The following is a 24,836-nucleotide window of genomic DNA, read 5'->3' on the forward strand; positions in this document are numbered from 1 at the left end:
GATGGGGGAAACTGCCCCCAGGATTCAGTTATTTCCACCTGGTCCCTCCCACGACATGTGGGGATTATAGAAACTACAATTAAAGATGAGATTTTGGTGCCAAGCCTTATCAATGGATTTACACAATTGATATTTAGAAGCTCTTCAAATCTATTTGTAAATTTAAAAGTTAAGTAGAATCATCTCTGCCTTGCAATTGGGAGCTGCAGAAGGTCAACTGGCAGCGCCTGCCTGCGTGGGCAACGTTCTTGGTGACCACTGAAGGCAGTGTGGGCTCACCAAAGCGAGGCTGCTCTCTGGGTTCCTTCCTCTTTGGCTACTTATGGTGTCGGTGCATGAGATGCTCTATCTTATCCACGAAGGGAAACAACCTACTGGACATCTGAAAAAGTGAGGAAACTAAACATGCAGTGTTGTGCTTACTTCTAAGCAATGGAGCTAATCCAGAAGGGTCCATACCAGGCTGATTAAAGCACTTCTCTTTTGGTTTAGTATTCACCTTCATCAACATCACTTTCACCATCATAGTCATTCTACCCCTCCTCCTCATCTTCTTCTTCCCTCCTTTCCTCTTTAAGAACTTTCAGGTATTTACTAGTGGAAACCTTCTTTGGCAATAATACACCTTCAAGAAACTGAAAAATTTCTGATTCCTCTGCTGTATTTGCTAAATTACTGTTAGTGCTTTCTTCTTTCTACTGCCATGACCGTAGGAATAGATGGTTAGAGACTTAACAAAGAGTTGTGTGGCCTTGGCCAGGAGCACCTCGAGGTTGATGCACAACACCATGGGAGAACTCTTCATGATGACCAGATGTGGGACAGGGACAGCAAGAGAAGCCACTGCTCCCTGCACTTGTCTTTGCCCACAACCACGTCCCCCACTTTTCCGCCCCTCCCATGTGGGTGGCAGCTGGTGCCCCACCATGAGGTGGCTCTCAATTTTCATTTTCTTAATAATGTTGTTAATGCAAAAAAGTTTTAAGTTTTGGTAAAGTCCAATTTACCAATTTCTTCTTGTATGGATCATGATTTTGGTGTCATATCTAAGAACTCTTTGCCTAACCCAAGATCATGAACATTTCTCCTATGGTTCTTTGAGAAGTTTTAAAGTTTTGGGTTTTACATTTAAGTCTATTATCTATTTTGAGTGAATTTTTGCATATGGTATGAGGTAAGGCTCCAAATTCATCTTTTTCATATGAATGTTTTATTTTCCCAGTACCCTCTGTTGAAAATGTTATTCTTTCCTGATTAAATTTCCTTGGCATTTTTATTGAAAATTGATCAAAAATAAATATAAAAGTTCATTTCTGGACTCTCAATTCTGTTCCACTGATCTACATGTCTATCCTTAATGCCACTAAGTAGAGTACTGTAGTTTTACAGTAAAACTTAAAATTCAGTAGTGTAAATGTTTCAATTTTGTTCTTCCTTTTCAAAACTGTTTTAGCGATTCTGGTCTCTTTGCATTTCCATACACATTTTAAGATCAGCTTGTCAACTGCTATCCCCAAAAGCCTGCTGGGATTTTGACAGGGATTGTATTAAATCTATAGGTCAATTTAAGAGAAAGTGCGAACTTAACACTAAAGGTTCATCTAATCCATGAACATTGAATACCTCTCATTTGTTTTAGATCTTTAATTTCTTTTAGCAATATTTTATAGTTTTCCATGTGCAAATCTTGCATCTCTGTGTTTAAACTGATTCCTAAGTATTTTATTCTTTTTGATGCTACTGTGAATGAAATGGTCTTAATTTCATTTTTGGTTTTTTTTTACCAGTATATAGAAATACAACAAATTTTTGTATATTCATCTATAAATTATATCCTGTCTGTAACTGAACTTGTTTATCAGTTCTAATAGGGTGTGTGTGTGTATGTGTGTGGGGGGTGGGTATTTCTCAGGATTTTCTACATACAGGATCACATCATCTGGAAATAAAGAACATTTTGCTTCTTCCTTTCAAAGCTACACGCTGATCTATCTTGAAGTTTATGGGTGTGGGTTCTTCTGCCATCTCAAATCTGTTATTGAGTTACTCAAGTGAATTTTTCATTTCGGTTATTGTACTTTTCAACTCCAGAATTTCCATTTGACTTTTTAAATAATTTATCTTGAGATTCTTTATTTGTTGAACCATTGTTGTTATACTTTCGTTTAATCCTGGTTTTCTTTAATTCCTTGAACATATTTTAGCTGCTTTGAAGTATCTGTCTGCATAGTACATCTGAGCCCACTCAGAAACACTCAGCTTCTGCTTCCATTCACTGCTTTTTCCCCCTAAGTATTAATCACCCTTTTCTTTCTTTAAATATCTTGTAATTTTTTAAGCCTGAATTTTAGGTACAATATTGTACTAACTCTGGATTTTTATGTTCTTCCCTCGGGATTGTTGTTCTTGCTGTGGTTTTCTTTTTTTGTTTATTAAGTTGCCTAAACTAAATCTGTGGAATCCATCTCCTTCATGGTGCATCGCTGCTTATCTCTCTACTTAATTTTTTAAAACTTATTTTTGTTTTTATTTTTAAGCCTGATTCTTAGGGGTCACTCCCATGTCTGCATAGCTTAGTGGTCAGCCAGTAATTAGTCGGTGGTTATGCTCAAATACCCTAAGCTAGTAAAGCTTTTACCCTCTGCCCATGGGTCTGTGGTTGGGTTGGGGGAGCCCATTAAAAACTCAGGCAGTTTTCAAGTCTGCCCTGGCATTTACTTTCTGCCAGGCCTTTTTGCATCTTCTCTGCATATGTGCAGATTTCACAGTCATCCAGGGTGTATAGGTAGCTTGAGCCCTCTTTGATATCTCCTGCTTGTGTTTGAAGTGTTTTGGTGAGTTTATCAAGGCTCCCTATCACTGTGCCATTTTCCCAAATCTCCCTGATAGATTTCTGGCTAGTCTGCTGATACACTGTTGGCCCCAACTAGGAATGTAACCTCAGGTTCACTGAGTTGCTAGCTAGCCTTTCTTGTCTCTTACCGAGATGTCTACTGTTACTCATAATGTTGGTGGGCATGGGGCTTTCACATTCCATTTCATATCAAGGAAGGCCACTCCATCAGTGAAACTGATGGTTTTCATGGCCTTCTTTACCCTTGTAGAACTATTGTGCTGAGTCTGCAGGTGGGGGATGGGAGCACCCGCAGGCAGAAACACCACAAAATCCTAATTAGCTTACTTGGAGCACTATAGTTTGTCTATGAATAAATGCTTCTCAATTTGTTGAGTGTCTTTTATCAATTTTCAGAGTCCTAAAGTTGCTGTTTTTGACAATTTTGTCTAGTTCTGTTGTTTTTTGGAAAGGGAATTTGTTCAGCTCTCACTCTGTTCTTTTGGTAGTCTACCTTTAGAACTATTGTTAAGAGCTTTTTTTCACTCTTTCATACTCAGCTGGTCATCAAGGCCTGCTGATTTTTTCTCTGCAATGTCTCTTTAGGAGAGATGCTGCTTTCCTTGCCATTTTCAGAGTCACACCCATCAAGGTGATCAGTATCCATTCCTAAATTCCTATGATAGAAGCCTTCCTCCTCATCACAGTCAGTTCTGCATCTGGCTGCTAGATTGATCTTATAGACACCAGCATAATCACATCCCTTGTTCCTGAATGAAGAACGGCTCTTTGTTGCAAAGAACATAAATTTCATACTGCTCAGCCTACCTTTCAAGAATGTATTCAACTGCCTTGATCTCATGTACAATCATTTATGTCTGGAACTCCCACCAAGTTGAGTTTTTCTATCCCCACATATTCTTTGTCAACTTCCATTTTTCTACCTTTTCTCATGCTGTTTCCCCTATGTGGAATGTCCTTATAATCTGCCTTTCAATTTTTGGTCCATCAACTCCTAAAAGAAGCTTAATCAGATTAATTCTTCTGTTGTTGATCATTCCTATACTCCATAGCTCTTCAGTATTCATATGTAGATTTTTAAAACATTTCTGGCACAAAATCTTACTGGTTTGCAATTGGTCTTCAATTGTTTCTGTATATGTTTTATTTTTTCTCCAACTTTTTTTTCCTTTTTAAGGATTTATTTTTTAGAACAGTTTTAGATTCACAGAAAAATTGAGCACAACTTACAGAGACTTCTCATATAACCCTTGCCTCCAACTTTTAATTATAATCAATTTAGGACTTTATTTACAAAATAGAAGATACTTCTTAGCATCTAGTACAGTGGTGGACATGCAGCTGGTGGTTAAAACATGACTGTTGAGTGAATAAAATGTTTCTTGATCTTCAATGAAAATTCTAAAAACTCTTTGAAAATGAACACTTTTGGATTTTTTTTTCCTGAAGACCTTAACTCTTACATATACCTCTGAAAGCAGCAGTAGTATTAAAACTATTTAATAGTGTGCCATGAAAACTGAAAATAAAATTAGAAAAGAAAACAGAGTCCTGAAAACTGCTGGGCCAAATAATGACCTATTAGTTCCTAGACCATGGGGAAGTCCCAGAGGTCCTGGACATGAGGCCATGAAGGCAGGGGGTGAAGCATGAGGTAGCAGCTATTTGCCATGTGGAATGAAAGTATTTAAACATTTTAACAATTGGCACGACAGTATCAGGGGACAGCCTGAATGTCGGTTCTGCCAGCAAGTAGACTGATACTCTCTGGATTTCATAATGGCTATAGAATATCTATAAAGTGGAATTCTGTCAACCTTCAGCAGTTTTGGATTTGGAGAGAAATATGAGAATAAGTCCCTGAAATGTAAAGTGCAGACAAGAACAGTCAGAAGCCAGTGTCAAGGATCAGTTAAACAGCAAAAGATCATAGAGTACAAAAGTACCATAGGCCAAGACAAACCAACAGTGGAGACCCTAGGTAAGTAACCAGAAGTCAGAGTTCAAATTAAGTAGGTGGAACAAGCCAAACAAATAGTAAGGAAATTCTAGGTGAGGATCCCAGCAAACAGTTGTCTAGGAAGCAGAAATGCATGGATAAGGAGACTCTGACTTCAAGGCAACCTTCTCCCTGTGCTGAAAAAATTTCTCTTTTTTTTTTTTTTTTTTTTTTTTTTGAGACACGGTCTCACTCTGTCACCCAGGCTGGAAAGCAGTGGTGGCTCACTGCAACCTCCACCTTCCAGGTCTTCAGCATATCAGTCTTTTAGAGTAAGACATTTAAGTGTGGGTCTTGATAGGGCACTGACTCTTTTTTTTTTTTTTTTTGGAAAGAGAGTCTTGCTCTGTCACCCAGGTTGGAGTGCAGTGATGTGATCATGACTCATTGAAGCCTCAAACTCCCAGGCTCAAGCAATCCTCCCACCTCAGCCTCCTGAGTAGCTGGGACTATAGGCACACACCACCATGCCCAACTAATTTTTTTTTTGGTATTTTCTGTAGAGATGGGGTTTTGCCATGTTGCCCAGGTTAGTTGCAAACTACTGGGCTCAAGCAGTCTGCCCACCTTGGCCTCCCAAAGTGCTGGGATTACAGGCACAAGCCACCATGCCTGACCTAGAGCAGTGACTCTTCTTACCAAACAGTAGAAAACCTGACCTAGGTTTGCTCGTAGCATTATCACTGTTTCATCTATGGAGGGTAACAGAAGACATTTTTTTTTTATCACTACCTTGCCCTTAAAATTTAATTTTCACATATTAAATTATGTGAAATTAAATTTCACATATGTCTAGAATATTTGGGGGTTTAAAAATGCCTTCAAATTTCTTCCATCAGAGGATGCAAACGAGAAGCCAATTAACTAAAGGGTATTTAAAAAAATATGTAATCTAAAAAGGCATTCAGTGCCAACTTAGAAACAAAGAGAGTAGGCCAAATAACTATTAGCAATGAAAGAAAAATATTGAAATTTTTGAAAAATAACCAGTAACTGGTTTGTCTAAAAAGGAATTTTGGACATGGGGAGAGGCATGACTTAATTGAAGGTGTATTGCTAAGGGAGAGAAGGTTACCGCTTTTCAGTTTTAAATAGTGTAATAAATCATACGCAACACCATAATTTAAGTTTATGAGGAAGGTAATACTCTTTAGGTTGTAAAAGTGACCTCCAGTGGGCAATAATGCTCTCAAATCCGTGGCCTAGGGAACTATATTCCATTGATCATCACTTTAAAAAAGTCTATATAGGCAACAGTTTTCCACTATAACTTTCACATCTATTTAGCAATTATATACATATGGTTATTTATTGGTTTAATAATGTATCTGGTTTGATTCATTAGTAGTGAACTGTTAACAGAAAGGTTTTTAGAATATTTCCCCAGTGATCTTCAAATCAACATCAAACATAGAGGCATACAGAATAGTAGGAATAGTAAATTCCTACCTAAATATTTTTAATTTAGAGGGGACACTAAGAATTAGAATACTGAATTTAAAATGAAGAAACTGGGCAGGCATGATGGCTTATGCCTGTAATCTCATCACTTTGGGAGCCTGAGGTGGAAGGATCAATTGAGCCCAGGAGCTCATGACCAGGCTGGGTAACTAAGAAAATAAAAGAGAAGAAAAAAGAAAAGAAAAGAAATTAGCTTATTAGGTGTGCTGGCGTGTGTCTGTAGTCCCAGCAATTCAGGAGGCTGAAGTGGGAGGATCACTTGTGCTCAGGAGTTTGAGGTTACAGTGAGCTAAGATTGTGCCACTGCACTCCACCCTGGGCAACAGAGTGAGTTCTTGTCTCAATAAATAAAAATAAATAAATAAAGGAACTACTGATAAGCAGCATATGTGCAGGTCCAAAACTGAACAAAACTTACTAGAAAATCTAGAAAACACTTTGGGTTCTATTTATACTTTGTCTCCTATGAAATCATGAACATCAAATTATCTTCAGAGATAACCTGTTATGAAACACCAAGCTACAGATAACTGAGGTACAGATTAAATAACCACATTTTTAGTCTTTTTTAGTGTGAAAAGTTAGGTTTTTTTAATTCTAAAATTTCACACTTTTTGCCCATTAAAATAGCTGTTATTCATCATTTCAGGAAAAAAAAAAGTGGGAGAAGGAAAGCAATAAGTAAGTTCGTGGCCTTTGACTCTAGTCCAAAATTATTTTATAGCTCAAATTAATAAGTCACTTGTGTGCACAATATCACTGGATATATGCAATCTCTCAGAAATGTGGTTATGCTGTTCTAAGCATATATGAAATTATAAGTCAGTTATAAAATACACAATATTCAATCTTCCCACTAGCTTCCCCTATAACTCACTGTTGGTTCTGGAAACTGCTTATACATCTGAAATGAAAAAAGTGAAAGATCACTATGGAAATAGCAGAATATTCTTTATTACTTAAAAAAAAAGTTCTGCTCAGAAGTGTTTCTAAATGGAATTTCAGCAAGGAGAGAAAAGTAACCTTTGCCATAGGCAAACTTTCTTTTAACACTCTGATAAATACTGATGAAGACAGACTTATTTATTATTCCTTCAGAAAATAAAATTGGTTTCCACTGTAAATAAATTCAAAATTCAGTCAAGTCTAATTGTGCTATAAAATGGGCAATACTTCCAGAAAACTGGCTTCTTTCCAAAAGAGAATGGACTCTGAATAACCATGTTTAAGGCAATATTTGATACAAAATTCAGAAGGTGAATTTTTAAGGCTTCTTCCTTCTAATCCTAGGATTGAACTAGCAAACTTTTCCTGTAAAAAGTCAGATAGTAAATATTTTAGGACGTGCAGGCAATAAGGTCTCTGTCATAACTACTCATATCTGTCATCATAGTGTGAAAGTGGCCATAGGCAATACCAAAATAATGGTTGTGGCTGTGTCCCAGTAAAGCTGTATTTACAGGCACTAAAATTCAAATTCCATATAATTTTCACATGTCACGAAATACTATTTTTCTTGTGATATTTTTCAGCCATTTCAAAATGTAAAAGCCATTCTTAGTTCAGGTGGTGGGCTGAAGCTGACTCACAGGCCATAGTTTACTGACTCTTGTTTTCGTCCACAGTCTATTTTTAGTCTATTATTTAGATAGAATAATATCTATCCTGTGGTGAGAAGCTCCTGGTGACTTTTCCTGCTGTAATTTTGTTTAAGATATGATTAAATTCCTTAACTATAAGATATAATTTGTGTAAAACGAAAATTGTATATAATAAAGTTAAATGTCAGCAGAAGACATTTTAGTTCTAAGATCAAGGGACAAGTTTCGGAGGGAGGACCATTTTGAAATATTTAAAAAAATCAACAAATACGAAAGCACTTTACCAAAGCAAACATTAAAGTTGATGTTCATTTTTAATATATCTGTCTTAGCACTCTAATTCATAAAAAATAAACAAAAATCAAGTTATATTTTGAATTTTGGCAGCTCCAGGACCTCCTGGAAGTTGCCAGCGGCAGTGATTATACCCAATCTTTCCACACCCCACAGCACTTGGCGCTGCTGACGTACAGAGCAAGCAAAGCCGCTGAAGTTCAAAACCTGCACTGAATCTATCTCAAACAAAGAATGCCAGGACCCACTGCAGTGACCCCTAGGATGAAGACATGGAATCTGTTATTATGCAATGTCACTTAAGTATGTCTTTTATATTAATAAAAAAGTTCGTCTTGGTAAATTCTTGCTCAAACCTATGACGTCTCTTTAGATTCTGAGGAATGCAGTCATGAATGACATTATTCAGTGATTAGTGACTTGTATACTAATAAGGAGGCTGCCCCTGGTACTTGAAGAAAGTAATTTAGGACGCCACGAAAAATGTACTCATATGCATAATATGTTAGAACAATGAAAAGTTATAAACAGAGAAAAGAACTAATGGAGATATTATGATGGATTTCTAAGGCCAATTACATGTATTTACAGTATGTGAATACACCAAGATCAAGCTCTGGGATTCTTTCACAAAAAAATGTCCTTATAGGGCCACCACTAGAAAAAGCTTACTAGGCCAGACATTCTATTTCTCTCACTAATTTTACCAAATGAATTTTACCAAACCTAAGTCATTCTAATTTTCTTAGAAATTCAATTTAATTCCATCCTATAAACACATATCAAGTGCCTCGTAAGTGCAAGAGCATAAACACTGAGAATACTGAGGTGAGCAAGACTCTGCCCTGTATCTCAAGGAGATCACTGCCCAGTGGGGTAGACCAACATGAAGAGATCTTGGGAGACAGCTTGATAAGTGTAACAATGGGATAATGTACAAAGTACAGATAGAGCTCAAAGGAAGCAGAGTTTTAACTCTCTCTTGGTTTGGGGAAGGCCTATTGACTGGAGTGACATCTTGGCTGAATCTGACAGAACAATTAAAATTACCCTATGAGCAATGAGAGAATGGGCCAGGCAGAGGGAACACACATGCAAAGATACACATGTAAGAGCATGAAATATGGTAACTCAGGACTGCTAGAGCATAAAGCGTGGGTATAAGTACAGGGTGAATGGTAAAAGATGAGATTGGAGACATAGGCAAAGAACCAAATCACAGTCTCCTGAGATTTCATCCTACAGACTTGTGCATCCAACACCCATGTGGCTACTGAGCACCTGAAATGTAATAGTTTTAAATCAGATGTATTATAAGAATAAAATACATACCAGATTTCAAGTATGAAAGAATAGTATCTCAATAATCTTAAAAGTTGATTATATGTTGAGATGATATTTTAGATATATTGGGTTAAATAAAATGTATTATTACAATTAATTTTAACTGTTTGACTTTTTAAAATACGGCTACTAGAAAATTTAAAATTGCATATGTGACACTTGATCCCTTATGTAGTAGTCCTTGCGGTTGATTCCTCAACAACTACTTCACCCCAAGCATTTAAACCAGAAGTGATTACTTCTCCTGCCAGCAACTGGTGTAGAAATGGGCACATGACCAACCCAACCCAGGCTTATAAATTGAGGGAAAGATAGCTGGAGGGGTTCCTGGTACAGATGTCTTTGCCCAGGACACAAGAAGATCAGCTCTCTCCTTCTGGATGTGGTTATACTGCACACAACACAGAGAACTCCTGTGGCTATCTTTCTGAGTCAGAGGATGAAGTGGAGGATGTCAGAGCTAAGAAATGGGAATAACCTGAGTCCTTGCTGACATCATTGAGCTGCTTTATCAACCAACCCTGGAGCTCACCCTTCCTTTGAACTTCCTGTTATGTGAGATAATGAGGTTCGTTATTATTTAAGCCAATATGAGTCAGGTTTTCTGTTACTTGTAGCCAAAAGCATCCTGGCTGATACACTCCATTAGACCATAATTACCTCAAGGGCAAGGGAATACAGATACTATCACTTAAGACCATCTCGTACTGCAAAAGCTCTGTACATAGTCTACAATCAATATATTATTGTTGTGATAATGTATATTGGGGTAATATGTGGGAAGGCTTTCCCTTTCTTAGTTCTAAAATATCATTAGTTGTAAGACATTACAGCCTAATGACTCAGGCGAGGAGAATTTTAATTAATCAGAGAATAACCTACAAGCAGAACTTAATCAAAACTAGAATACTCATTAGATTTGTAAATTGTTACACTTCATGAATGTCCTTTCATTAAGAGGCCTGACTTGAATCCTAGTCAAAGCATACACATTGGAAACAATTCAGCTTAATTTTACTAATCTGGACATAAACCCTTAAAGGTGATTTAGCAAATATACAACTGCTAGAGTTTATACCTCATTATTCTGAGAACTAAGCAAAATAATGTACGGAGAGCCTAGCACATATGTATATGTATGTATACGGTAAACATACTACATATAGATTTGGTTCTTGCTTATTTTCTCTTGTAGAATTGGATTTTTATTCAAAATACAAATGGTTCCCAACTTACAATGATTCAACTTATGATTTTTTGACTTTAAAATGGTGATACACATTCAGAAGGAACTGCATTTCCAATTTTGAACTTCCTGGGCTAGTAATATGCATACCATACTCTCTTGAGATGCTGGGTGGCAGCAGCAAACTGCACCTTCCAGTCAGCCACTTGATCATGAGGAAAAACAACTAATGAGGTAGGCTAAGCTAAACTAAACTATGATATTCAGTAGGTTAGGTGCATTAAATCCATTTTCTACTTATAATATTTTCAATTTAGATGGGTTGAAGAGCATTTGTAATATATGAAATATGCAGTCATTTACTCTATGTGGTAATCTTGCTTTTGTTGACTAGAAGTCAGATTACAGTAAATACTAATATACATATGTTAAACTTCATTGGCTAGTTAATGCTTGGTTAGGTGGTTGATTTACTAATTCATTCTTTCATGTATATGAAGCAAGTAAGCTCAAGATCTAACCTCAACACAATAAGGCAGGCAGCAATAAAACTATCAACTAGAAATTAGAAGCTATAGTGTTTTTACTAAGCTACATCTACTTACCCAATCTTTGTGAGATTTGGTGATATTGACAATGCAATCAGAATGAAGATGAATAAAAAGGAAACAAAGATAGGGAAGGAAGTTTATGACTTTGGGGCTGTAATTAGAAGGTGACTAATGTAATTAAAGGAGACAGGAAAAGATACTTAGTAACATCTAAAAGTGATGAGGAAACATATAGAAAGGGTGTCATGACAGAGTCAAGAATAATACTTAGTGAGTTATATCAAGCTAGGAGATTACAAAACCCTCCTGAACTATCACTAAGTATGTTGCTTTTAATAACATACACTAACCAATACAACCAACTTCCAAATAGGATATGCTGAAGAATATTGAGCAAAACCCTCACCAGCTCAATCTTAAAAAATAAATGACTGACAAGTTCAAAATTTCATAAGACAATTGGCTCAGCAATTGTAAATCAGTGACCTTTGTATGCACTAGTGTCTAAAGGAGTATTCCTACATACAGTTATTCACAGTTAGCTCATGTTTGCTGAGAAATCTGTATCTGAAAATTTAAGCTATGTTTTTGTTCTGGACAATTGAACTAATTTGAGTGTGAATTTCTAATATCATATTTGTTGTGATGAATAAGGTAAACATGAGAATGTCAAAACATTCTCTCCAAGACATCACGAGGACCTCCAGGCAAACCCAGCCTGAATGACTGCCCACTGTCTGGATGAGAATTCAGGGTTTCAGGATGGGAAACTCTGGCCTACAGACGTCTTCGCTAAAGCCAGACAGGAGTGGGCTTAGACCACTTTTTGTAGACTGATAATTACTTTAAGAAGTCTGGGCCAGGTGCAGTGGCTCACACCTGTAATCCTAGCACTTTGGGAGGCCAAGGCGCACAGATCACGAGGTCAGGAGTTCGAGACCAGTCTGCCCAACATGGTGAAACCCCGTCTCTACTAAAAATACAAAAATTAGTCAGGTGTGGTGGCGTGCACCTGTAATCCCAGCTACTCAGGAGGCTGAGGCAGGAGAATCACTTGAACCCGGGAAGTGGAGGTTGCAGTGAGCCGAAATCACGCCACTGCACTCCAGCCTGGGTGACAGAGCAAGACTTTGTCTCCAAAAAAAAAAAAAAAAAAAAAAAGAAAAGTCTGAAGCAGGCCTTAACTAATCACTGGCATTTGGAGAAGCTCTAAACCAGGCTATGGGTTAAATTTAGTGCATTCCAAGGTGGAGCCAACACACCAAGAGAGCACAGGAGAGGCAAGAGGATGGCATCCACATTTTCTCAGAATCAGGACTGCATACGAGTACGTGATAAAGCAATGAATCTGGCTGTTTTTTTAACATTAGGCTTAATCTAGTATTATCTATATACAGTAAAATTTACCCTTTTTAGAGTGTAGTTCAGTGAATTTGACAAACGCAGTCATGTTTCTACCACCACAATTAAGATGTAACACATTTCCATTACCTCCCAAAACTCCCTCATGATACTTTGTAGTTAATCCCTCTCCATACCCCCAGCCCCTGCAACCACTCATCTGTTTTCTATCCCTATAGTTTTGATTTTTCCAGAATGTCATATAAATGGAATCTATAGTATGTAGCCTTTCGAATGGTTTCTTTCACCAACCATCATGTAACTGACAACAAGGCCAGTGAGACTCGGACACAACTGATGAACTGGAAAGTGGGAGGAATTGAAGTTGGATAAGTGGAGGGGGCCAAATCATAGGAGTTTGTGTGCCATAGCTAAATTTTTTGCATTTTATAGGAGGTGTGATGGGAAGCCACTGGAAGGTTTTGTGTAGTTGAGTCAGGTAATCAGATTAATTTTTCACACCTATAATCCCAGCACTTTGGGACGCTGAGGTGGGAGGATTGCCTGAGCCCAGGAGGCTGAGGCTACAATGAGTTGTGATTGTGCCACTGCACTCCAGCCTGGGTGACAGAGCAAAACTCTGTCTCAAAATAATATGTGAAAGAGAGACTACAGTGGAGCAAAGGTAGAAAAAATGAGGCTAATTTAGAGACTGCTGCAGTCATCTGGGTTAAAAATGATAGGGACTTAAACTAGAATGGTAAAATTGGAGGTGGTGAGAAGCAGTCAGGTCAGAGACATAATTTAGAGGAAGAGATGCTGGGACAAGGTGTAGCATGTGACGGGGACTAGGGGTTCAAGGAAAGCTCCAAGGATGGTCTGAGCAACAAGGTAATGATGGTAACATTCACTGGGACAGAGGAAAGGACAGAAGAGGTAGGAGCAGGCATGGTAGGGGGACGCAGGGAACAAAGAGTTCCATAAATTTGGGCATCATCAGCATATAGATGGTATTGAATCTTTCCCCTGATCATTTTGCATATCCGTATCAACTTCTGATAGAGAAATTTCACTTAACAGTCTCTGTCCTGTTACCCTTTAATACAGCAAATGAATGCACCAGGTAATGTATTCAATTTCCACTTCACTAAGTTCCTAGAGTTACATTTTTAAAAAATAAGAAGATAAGCTATAAAGGCTCAAGTCTAGAGAGCTCTTCCATTTCTTGCCTTTGTTTTCCACACAGGTAAGAACAACCTGTGTTTCATAAGAAGGACCACTTCCAAATTTCACATATACTTTTTTTCTCAGAATACCAATTCTGTTTGGTCAACTGCATTGGGCCAAATGGATTATGAATAGAAACTTTAAAAAAATGATTACAATTTTTCTTGCTTTAAAATGTTTCCCTATTTACTAGCATTTACAAATTAATGGGTGAAAAAGCATTTAGTGGTCCAAGTTTTCCACCTTATGAGATCAAGTTGATGCTGCTACGGTGAAGGAGTACCTTTTGCTTAGACAGACCCTCAGGTTGGGGAGAGGGTAACGGCAACATAATGTAGAAAAGCCAGAGGGTGTGAAGTGGGGATTTACTTTGTGTCTCCTTTCCCCAGGGAGCCCAAATATCCAAGAACAAGAGAGGAGCAGTGATCACACCCCCTACTTTCTACCTCCTAGGCCACTACAATAGTGTTTGATGTACAGGATGATTATTCCTGTCCAACATTTATTCCAGTCATTTATTCATCTACCAATGTGACCATCATCAACACATTTCCTGAAAGTTTCTATCTTAAAATTTCATGCAAATTTGTCATCTATAAAATAGTTGTATTTGCTTTAATATAAAAATGTCTTAATTTATCATTGAGTGCAATTGACATTCAGTTAGATATAGTGAGACCACTATGTACAGTCGTGCAGGTGTACACTGCACACCTCAATGGGGTGCATTCACACCGCAGTTATTGTAGACTTATTACAAAAATTTTCTGTCAGATGGCAGTAAAATGCCTTGAGGAAGAGGCACTTTTTTTTTCTAATTTGTAAAGGTGTCATATGGGTGAACAGTAGCCCTGAACTTTGAGTACCTTGGCATAGGAACTTGGCACAAGCCCAAACTAGCCTCATTATCTTATATATGAAGAAGCCAAGTCCCCAAGAGGTGAAGAAACAAGGTCCCAAAGCTAGTTCAAGGCAAAATTGCATTTGATCCCAGTCTGCACTCTCACTCCAGTGTTACAGCAACATGCCACCTCTGTGAACAGTGGGTTGCTCTTTTCAGAGGTGTGGGTTACTGATGTGCTTTTTCATTTCTTTGCTCAGCCTTAGAAGAGACCTTTCCAAGAGAGGTATCCCACGCTGCTTTTGACATTTGCCTCTACCATGAGTGGATACATAGATAGATATAAAGTTAGCTACACTGTACTTGCCCAGTATTCAAAAAGGTGGAGTTGCTAGACTGTAAGCTCCATGAGAGCAAGAACCATGTCTGACATTCTCCTCATGTATCCTTAGCACCTAGCATACAGTCAATTTGTAGTTTACACAAGGAAACATAATACTCTTCTGTAAGCTAATTTAGGCCATGCCCCTCAGGTTCCTACTGCACTCTCTTCTACAGCTAGGGCATATGTCAATGTAAAACCCTGAGAAGCACTGGAGTGGTCTCTAAGCTGCTTTCCATATTAATATGCTACAACTGTTTATTTTTGGTTGGGCTCATTCAACCTGGATCAGGAAGATCAGTTACAGAATCATAACAGCACTGGAATGGATCTTGTAAGTCATCTAACCCAACTCCTTCATTTAACATAACCAGGAAACAGAGTTGCAAGGAAGTAACAGAATCCATCCAGGTAGCTGCAGCAAACCTATACTATGGTCCATTCCTAAAACTCAGATTTTCTGACCACCAATTACATGATCTTCCCTAAATATCACAATACTTCCCCACCAATGAATGAATAATGATTGGAAACAAACAATGTCAGAGGCATTGTGAACTAGAAAGGTATGTCCTTAAGAATGTTTTCCAAAGTCTTGTTTGAGTTGGACAATGATAAATCATGAGTTTGAGAAGATAGACTCTTTATTCTTTCCAAGCAAGAAGTACTAGTGAGATAGAAGAAAAGAAGATTAGTTAGGTAAGACTATTAGAAGTCCTCAAATTTACTGAAAAACGGATATAAAGCTGGATTATAGTTGTTCTGTACATGAATGGCTAATTTAGAAAGCATAACTGGTTAGTCATACAGAAAACATGTATGTCTACTTACTCTGACTCCAAGCCAGAAATTCTGTGATTTAGGACATTAGTTTAGTCTAAAGTGATTATTTTAATGAAAAATATGTATTCTGTTGTAAACAGGATGTATTCTCAAGCTGCTATCTAAACAATAAAAGGAATTTGTTTATTAAGAAACAATACACTTTTCAGATTTTTAGCTTTATTTCAGAAATAAACCTTTAAAAGTAAAAACAATACTGGAACTTTATTTCAATAATATCCCAAGTTATGGGACTAAGTTGATGGTTCTGAAAGTTTACACAGTTGTTCTACATACAGTCACATGCTGCATTATGACGTTTTGGTCAATAACAGACCACAAATATAATGGTGCTCCCAGAAGGTTACAATACCATATTTTTACTGTACATTTTCTATGTTTAAATATACAGATACCATTGCATTACAATTGCCTATGGTATTCAGCAAAGTAACATGCTGTACACGTTTGTAGTGGGAGCAGGAGGCTCTACCACATAGCCTAGGTGTGTGGTAGGCTCTAGTATTTAGGTTTGTGTAAGTACATTCTGTGATGCTTGCACAGCAACAAAATCACCTGATGATGCATTTCTCACAACATATCCTTGTCATTAAGTGACGCATCACTGTACATTCTATAATACAAAACTCTTTTTAACAGAACCAAATGAGTATACTACAGCGAGACTCCAGTGTTATCTATATTGTTTTGTTGACCCTTCCTCTCATATATAACTATTAAAGATAAAAATAACCTGTGGGACAACTATTTTTCATATAAAATAATTCCATATTTAAAATAATAATGAACTGCAAACAAGAAGTCTAAAATAATTTAAATCTACTATGATATCAATTTCCCAACACAAACAATTTTGATTTTTCAAGTCTAGCAGATGGTGCTAGCAGATAATGTATTAAGGAAAGCAAAGCTGCATGTGCGCACATAGCTTCCATTTTGATGGCCTTCCATTTCCGAGCTGGGCCATAACACAGCAAAATGGCAGTGGCATATTATACCTGATCATGGCTGGCTTCAATGGAGCTTCCAATAGCATGGAAAGTCATCTGCACAGGGGCTAATGTCAGACAGGTCACACACTCTTTGCCACTTTGTCTATCACAGTAGTGAACCTATAACAGAACACACGCAATCCACTGAACACCATTTTCAGAGGGGACAAGATGCAAATAGGTCCTTTTGCAAAGGGTCTAGATTTCACAGAACACACTTTAAATATTTAAAACCTTATTGAACCCCTCCAATATCTGGGACTTGAATTGAATCTATTAATTCCATCTTAAGTCTTTTTGAGGATTTAAGGGAGTTTAGGAAATGCTATGCAAAGTGCTTTTACATTATAGCTAGTAGAAAAATTCACAACTAAATGCTATACCTATCTTTCAAGTCCAGCTTTTTATAATACATGATCCATAAAGGGCTCAAGCATAAGCGTAAGTCAAAGTTCATCTGATTCTAATGTAACTTTGTCAACCTGAATTTTCTCTCTTCTTTGACTCCATGTGTATGTGACTGCCACATAATTGGTACTGACACTCTTCTATTTCTACAGTATAGTCCCTACAAAACCACTGTTGAATATATATCACTATATCATGTTCTGTTTGAAATTGTGACATTACAATCAAATTGAATTAAATTGAAATGATTTGTAATGTGCAGACCAAAATAAAGTGGTCACAATATTATCTTTCATTTAGTTAAATACAACTAACCATTATTAAAGCCACATGTAAGACACTCCACATCAGAGGTAAGGTACATGGGGAAGGGGGAAGAGTTTGAGTCCGTCTTCCCATTAAGAAAATTTCCATCCTTCCATTTATCCACTGTCAAAAACTTCCAGGTTTTTAAAATTGTAAGCTAATAAAGTAAAAAGAGCATCACTTTCGTAATAAAATTAATGAAAATATGCTTATAGAATAAATTAGGGATTCCTATTTATTATATTAGAGAGAAAATTGGTTTTATTAGCTATAACTTGCTCAATTTGTTAAATGTGTATAGATTTAGGATAAAGGCTTAAGTGAAAATTTTGAATTTGTGAGGAAGAAAATTAAAACACATACCTGAGTTAGTTCCTTGTCTTGGTTTTTATTGTATACCTGAGTTATTCCCTTGTCTTGGGTTTTATTCTAATTGCTGCATAATGTCCATATATTTTTATTGCAGAATATGGCCTACGTTTATTTAATCATGTATAATATGGATCTGACTGAAAATTACAATATGAGCCCTAGTCTAATGGCTTAATAATTCAAGTTTTTTAAACCAGTAGGGTTGTTAAGAATGGCCATCATTTTCCCTGGAGGTAGGGAAACTTCTTCCTGGGAATCTATAAAAGTAGTTTAGAGCTCAAATCAAGTCAACATAAAAGCCTTATTCCCAAAGTACTATAAAGATTTTGTTATAAAAAATATTTTTACCAAGTTAACCTTGGGGAAAAAGGTTTGACAACAGTTCTAATTCACCATCCTACACTTCCTGAGCAAATTAAAAGCTCAGTCAATGTATACGAGTTCAAGAATGTGGAAGTGTTGTTTACTACACAGCAACTAGGTATAAGGGGAAAAATGAAACTTATCACATAATAGGTTTATGTAAAAGCCAATAAATGCTGGCACTAAAATAATAGCAACAGTTCACAACCATTTATGGCATGGTTAAACTATTATGTCTGATATAGTGCTATTATAAAACATGCTCTTTTAAAATTTAATAAAATATAATTACCCTTTCGACACCAACTGAAAGTCTGTATGAAAGACATGACAATCTCCTAAATATACAGTGACAGTAAACACACTTCTATGTCAGCTGACTTAATGTAGCTCTATTCTTTCTCTTAGAGAAATGAAAATTAGAAAGGACAAAAATAGGACAATTGCAGTCAAAAAAATAAACTTTAAACTTCGTTTCCATCAGTGACTCAGATACCATTAATGAGACATATAATTTTTCTCCCAACTGTATACAATTCACTGTGAAGCCTGCAAGTACTAATAAAACATTGTGCCTTACAGACATTCAATATTAGTGTGTTTACATATATAACTCATATATGAAAGATAAATGTAAAGGTGCAAGTTAGCACACAGCTCCAAAGATGTCACAGCACCCAATGATGTGACAGAGACTGCTAGTTGTCCTCCAAGATTCTTCCACCGTAATTCTTAGCCAGGCACTTGGAAGCTCAAAATAAAAAACCATATTTTCCAGGCTCCCTTGCAACTGGCCATATAACTAAGTAGACTGTAAAAGAAAGAATTATGTGGCAGCTTCCTGAAAACTTTTAAAAGAGATTTCAAGTGCGTGCCTTTTGCTTTTTTACCCATTTAGCCAACCTGCTGTTTGGAGTATAGATATTATCATCTTGACTGCGAGGACAAAGGCCAAAACCTAGATGAGAGTAGTGAGTTGGAAGGGAACTGGGTCCATGAGGACTTCATGGAACAGAACCATCATGCCAGCTGTAGCCTGCAAGCTTATGGACCTTTAAGTGACAAAAAAATAATCTCTATATTGTTTAAGCCACTGGGCTTTTTATCACTCACAAAAGAACCTAATCTCAGTGAGATTTTCTCCTATTGGCCCATAACTGACACCAAGACTCATGGCCAAACCAAAAGAAGCTCTAGAGAGCTGCCAACATTTAGGGCTAGGCTTTCCCCTGAACCCCCTTGTAAAAGTCAGTACAACTGGTCCAATCACAAAGAACACACAAAGGAACAAAGGATGGGGGAGTACAACAGGAGGGAATCATCTGGATTGTCAGCCTGATGAGAAATACAGTATTTCCAGCTAGTGGGTAGCTCTAAGAGAATAGCTGATACAGAGTGGGAATACCTGCATGAAGGGGAGGCTGACATATCACTCCCTGGTGGGAGGCTTGCTGAGAACTGAAACTGTAGGCCCTTTTTGAATAGAAATTTTGACTGAGTTTGCTGTATATCCCTGGCAGTTTAGAAGCACATGAAAATACAGAAATTGGGCTTGGAGGTATCTGAGAGCTTATTGAAGGAGTCCTAGGTAGGTAGTGTACCTGAAAAAACAAAAAGATAAAGGAAGATATGATCACTGCCTACCTCCATGGCCTTTGAACAGCATGAGAGAATCCCAGCAGAAGCCAAGGGGCTACTCAGGCCAGCCAAAGTAACACTCACCAACAGAGGAGGTCAGAGCACAAACCACTGGTAAAGCCAAAAGAAAACGTGGCTGTCCCTCAGGGCCAGAGGGGGCCACTGACTCAAGACACATGGACATGGTGTACATGGAAAAGCACAATGGAGGCCACCAGGAGTGGATGAAACCAGGATGAGTAGCAGCTTCCTCTACCCTAGTCACCCTCTAACCCTCCAGAGCAGTAAGCCCATGAAATAGACGTAAAGTGTGCAGGAAGGTGTCTCAGAGCCAGGTTAAGCTCTGACCCCACCAATCTCAAATACATATGCTTGAGTGAGATGAGGAGTGAAAGAGATCAGTGTACACTGTCCCTCCTCTAAGTCTCTGGAGCCAAAATGAATGGCTTGCAATGGAAGGGTATGAACTTGGAGTTCTACACTGATGCATTAGATTTTTAAAAACTAAAAGCTAGCCAGAAAACTATGGAATTTGCCAAAGATATCACAAAGGAACATGAATGGGAGATGTGGCAAGGCACGGAGGAAGGGGGTGACTGGAGAAATATAAAATCATTCTGTGTTATATCCCCACTGCATTGAGACTGCTCAGTAAACCAGATAAAAATATGTAGGGAAAAACATGAAACTCTTGCTTGAGGACCCAATTTCAAATTAAACGTAATAATATGCTGATAAAAGGCCTTAAGAAAAAGTCACATTTTACATACTCAACCAATGACTCATAAAGACAAGTTAAATATGGCTTTCTTCAGGTATATATTTTCTTCCTGGAAATAAAAATATCAGTGTTCATGAAACTGTGAATTAAAAAAAATATGTAAATGACATTTTGAAATTCACTCTTCTAAGTCTAAAAATGCTTCTTATGATTCAAAGCATTTGCAGGAACCAGGAATCTTAGAACACTATATTAAAATAATTAGGGCAACAAAATTCCATTCATTGTGTCTGTAACACACAAATCTTCAGAACTGACTGGGTAAACTCTTTCTGCTAGAACAAAGCAGTGCGTTTCTACAAACGTGGCCTGAAAAATTCCAATACACAATGTCATAGGACCTTGATTTTGATGAAAGAAAAATGAATAAAGATAATTATAGAAAATTACAAAAGAGTCATCACCCTATGTTTTGTAAACCAACAATAAAATCCTAAGGCCCCTGCAGCCAACTTAATAGACCCCCTCTGAGTCAAGGGGACCTCAGAGAAACCTGAAAAACTGAATTCCCAGCCATGACAGAAAGGGAGGTTGGATATGCGCAGTCATTTTAGGCATAACTAACCAACATTAACATTGAAATAGAGGTCATAAGACTGATGAAACATGTTATTTGTGGCAATAAGATTCTAAGTTCCAACCTGACTCTAAGTTTCAACCATAGCATCACATGACAGATAGCAGTCCCTGAAGGAAATTAAAATATTTTACCCCAATATATATTTAAATGACATGCCTTGAAATGGCCCTGCAAAGCAGTACCTTGTGCGGGGAACGTGCACCTGTACAGAAACTCCATTAAGCCTCCCCTTTTTAGGCCTTTCCTGGGTCTAAGAGATTAAATGAGAGTCTGGGATGAGCATGGTGGCTCACACCTGTAATCCCAGTGCTTTCGGAGGCCAACAGGGGAGGATCCCTTGAGCCTAGGAGTTTGAGACCAACCTGGGCAACACAGGAGACCCCATCTCTACAAAAAAAATTAGACAGGTGTGGTGTGCCCAGGAGTTTGAGGTTGCAGTGAGCCATAACTGCACCACTGTACTCCAGCCTCAGTGACAGAGCGAGACCCTGTCTCAAAAATATAAAAAATTTTAAAAATGAGAGTCTGGCAACTTTAAGCTCTGAAAAGAGACATTTACCATCTATTCTCTCTAAAGGCTGTCACCTATGAGGCTTCATCTACATAACAAGAACCTTGGCCTCCACAACCACTCCCTTTATCTTAAGCATTTATTTCTAAACTGACTTCAAGTCTTTAGACAAAGCTTAATACTTTCAACCAATTGCCAATCAGAAAATCTTTGAATCCACCTATGACCTGTAAGCCACGCACCTCCTCCACTCCCCACCCAGCCCCTTCCACAGCTTCAAGATATTCTGCCTCCTTAGGTTGAACCAATATGCACCTTCCATGTATTGATTTGATTTTACCTACAATTCCTGTCTCCCTAAAATGTAACTCCAACACCCAGTGCACACTTTCTCAGGACCTCTTGAGACTGCTCCTTGGGCTATGGTCACTCATTGGCTTAGAATAAACCTCTTTAAAAATACTTCAGAGTTTGGTTTATCAACAGTTTAAGATTTATTATTTATAAATTAAATCATTTTGCTGCCTTTGGTACTCTAAAATGTGAGCAACCAATCTTGATTTTTATAATGTTATAGAGCTTCTTCTGGATTTATAACACCATCAACTACTATAAATTGATATTTTGTTTCTTTCTCATGAATTTACAAAAACTATTCCACTGAAAGGTGAGTTATAAATTTCAATATATCAATTAAATAAGACGGCTTTCTTTGAAATTTGCAAATCTATAACTTTTAAGATAAGTTTCCTAGTTTGATTTGTAATCTCATAAACCCAGATGAGATACTATACTTGAGATGGTATACTAAGTTTCCTAGTTTGATATGTACTCTTCTAAACCCAGATGAGATACTATACTTTTGCATTCTGATATTGACTTTGCCAGTCTAAAGACTTCCTTTTTTCTGAAGGGAAAATCAGGAAGTATTCATAGAATCACTTGAAATATTCATAGAATTTAAGAAATAGACAAGGCACTGTGGTTCACACCTGTAATCCCAGCACTTTACAAGGCCAAGGTGTGAAAACTGCTTGAGGCCAGGAGTTTGAGACCAGCATGAGCAACAGAGAGAGATGAGACCCTGTTTCTGTCTGAATGAATGAATGAATGTCTTAAATTACATAAAATGCTAGGTGTGTGAATTTTTTTCATGCTGTTTTGAAAATATGAGGGGCCATCCAAATAAAAATTTAAATTTCCTACCCCCAGCTCCGAAAAGAAGTTGAGTCAAACTACTTCCTGCAGAGCTAAAAGTCCTTGATGTTGCATGACTACTAATTTTACTAATCTCAGCAGGGAACTGGGTTAACTGCTTGTCTGTCGGATGTTTTTAATGGCCACCCCCTATGGAACAAAAATGAGGAGGGTATAAAAAAGACCTATGTTTAAAGAAAGTTGCCTGTTAGATCATTAAGGTATGTGATACATAGCACAATCACTGTGTTAAGAAAACATGTATTTGATTAGTACACCTCAGATCCATTAACTGTGGAGTTGACTTCACAGCAGTAGGTAGCAATTCCACTGTAGCTACTGCACAGAAGCCTTGCACAGAAGAGTACAGGCAGCAAGGAGCTGAAGAGTGACAGTTGAACACTAAACCTTAGGAGATTCAAAACATGCTTGATTTTCGCAACGTCTGCACCTCAGTTGTACAAAGTTGTACAAATAAAGACCCAAATCTTAAGACAAAATAGCATGTTCTTGGCAAGGCACAAAGCAGCTTTCTTTCATAAATATTGACCTAAATAAGTAGATTAAGTTGGTTTCAAAACTTTACTACTTTTTTTGATCACTTGATGACATGTAAATTATTGTATTTATTTAACTACAGTCAACAGTACAAATCTACATGTTAGTTCTATTTATAACTAATGAATTAATGTATAAGTAAACAAAATTAATTTAGGCATGAAAAGTATACAGAACTGTAGCTAGCTCATGATTAGCATTAATAATAACTATCAGATAGTCTTATAACACATCCACTCATAATGTAATAAAATAAATTACAAGATATATAATTATTGAAAGTAATATTAAAGAGAATAATATCTGTTACTGTCTCTTCAGTTTTTTCCCAGTCCTTTCCATAACTAACAAACATCACATCCACTCCTTTGTAACAAAAATATGAACATACATTTAACATGCTTGGTCATGTACCAGTGTTTTAGTTGATGCATAATGTTTCACTCTAAATGCAATATGCTTGTCACATTAATGCCTCTAAAGGGACATGGATAAATAAATGAATGAAATTACATTACACAGACTGAGACACAACTTGGAATTATCTTTTCTCTCTTTTAAAAATCCTATGTTTTAGATAAGCTTTGAAAATTACATGCTTATATTTGATAATCAAAATCTGGCAGTAATGTATAAAGATTTTTTTGTGCAAGCCACGGATAAAAATTGTCTAACAAATGAAACAGATGTGTTGTCAGCGTTGTTTAGGGGGATAATAACATTCTTACTGTAAGTGACAAGCATGTACATGACAAAAATCCTAAACATTTGATCTTTGCTTTTTTTTTTGAGACGGAGTCTCACTCTGTCGCCCAGGCTGAAGTGCAGTGGCGTGATCTTGGCTCACTGCAAGCTCCACCTCCCGGGTTCACGCCATTCTCCTGCCTCAGCCTCCCAAGTAACTGGGACTACAGGCGCCCACCACCACGCCTGGCTAATTTTTTGTATTTTTAGTAGAGATGGGGTTTCACCGTGATAGCCAGGATGGTCTCGATCTCCTGACCTCGTGATCCGCCCACCTCGGCCTCCCAAAGTGCTGGGATTACAGGCATGAGCCACCGCCCCTGGCCGTTCTTTGCTTTTTAGTTTCCATTAACTATGCCAGTGAAGGTCTAGGGAGACAGCTAGTTAGGACATAAATTACACTTACACACACACAAACAATTATTTTAGTTTTACATTTCCATCGAAAGAAAACACTAAGTG

General features: G+C 37.4%; 1 protein-coding gene across 4 annotated transcripts in view, besides 1 other annotated feature; it reads right to left on the reverse strand.

The window, feature by feature from the left end:
• Positions 1-24,836, reverse strand: part of STAU2 (staufen double-stranded RNA binding protein 2) — a 327,112-nt gene that overhangs the window by 90,400 nt on the left and 211,876 nt on the right. Inside the window, exon 12 of one of the 4 annotated variants that reach the window (NM_001164382.2) lies at positions 16,923-17,036. The exons of the other annotated variants lie outside the window; for them this stretch is intronic. Within the exon in view, the coding sequence (NP_001157854.1) occupies positions 16,923-17,036 (114 nt within the window). The remainder of the gene's footprint in view (positions 1-16,922; positions 17,037-24,836) is intronic. 4 annotated transcript variants of the gene reach the window in all.
• Positions 9,898-10,037: an enhancer, noted in NCBI's record as "active region_27532". NCBI's record gives its function as "activates an Ori minimal core promoter by ATAC-STARR-seq in GM12878 lymphoblastoid cells {active_cell/tissue: GM12878}" and the evidence as "EXISTENCE:reporter gene assay evidence [ECO:0000049][PMID:35858748]".

Source organism: Homo sapiens, chromosome 8 (genome assembly GCF_000001405.40).
Source record: "Homo sapiens chromosome 8, GRCh38.p14 Primary Assembly".
In the NCBI taxonomy this organism is placed as follows: Eukaryota; Metazoa; Chordata; class Mammalia; order Primates; family Hominidae; genus Homo; species Homo sapiens.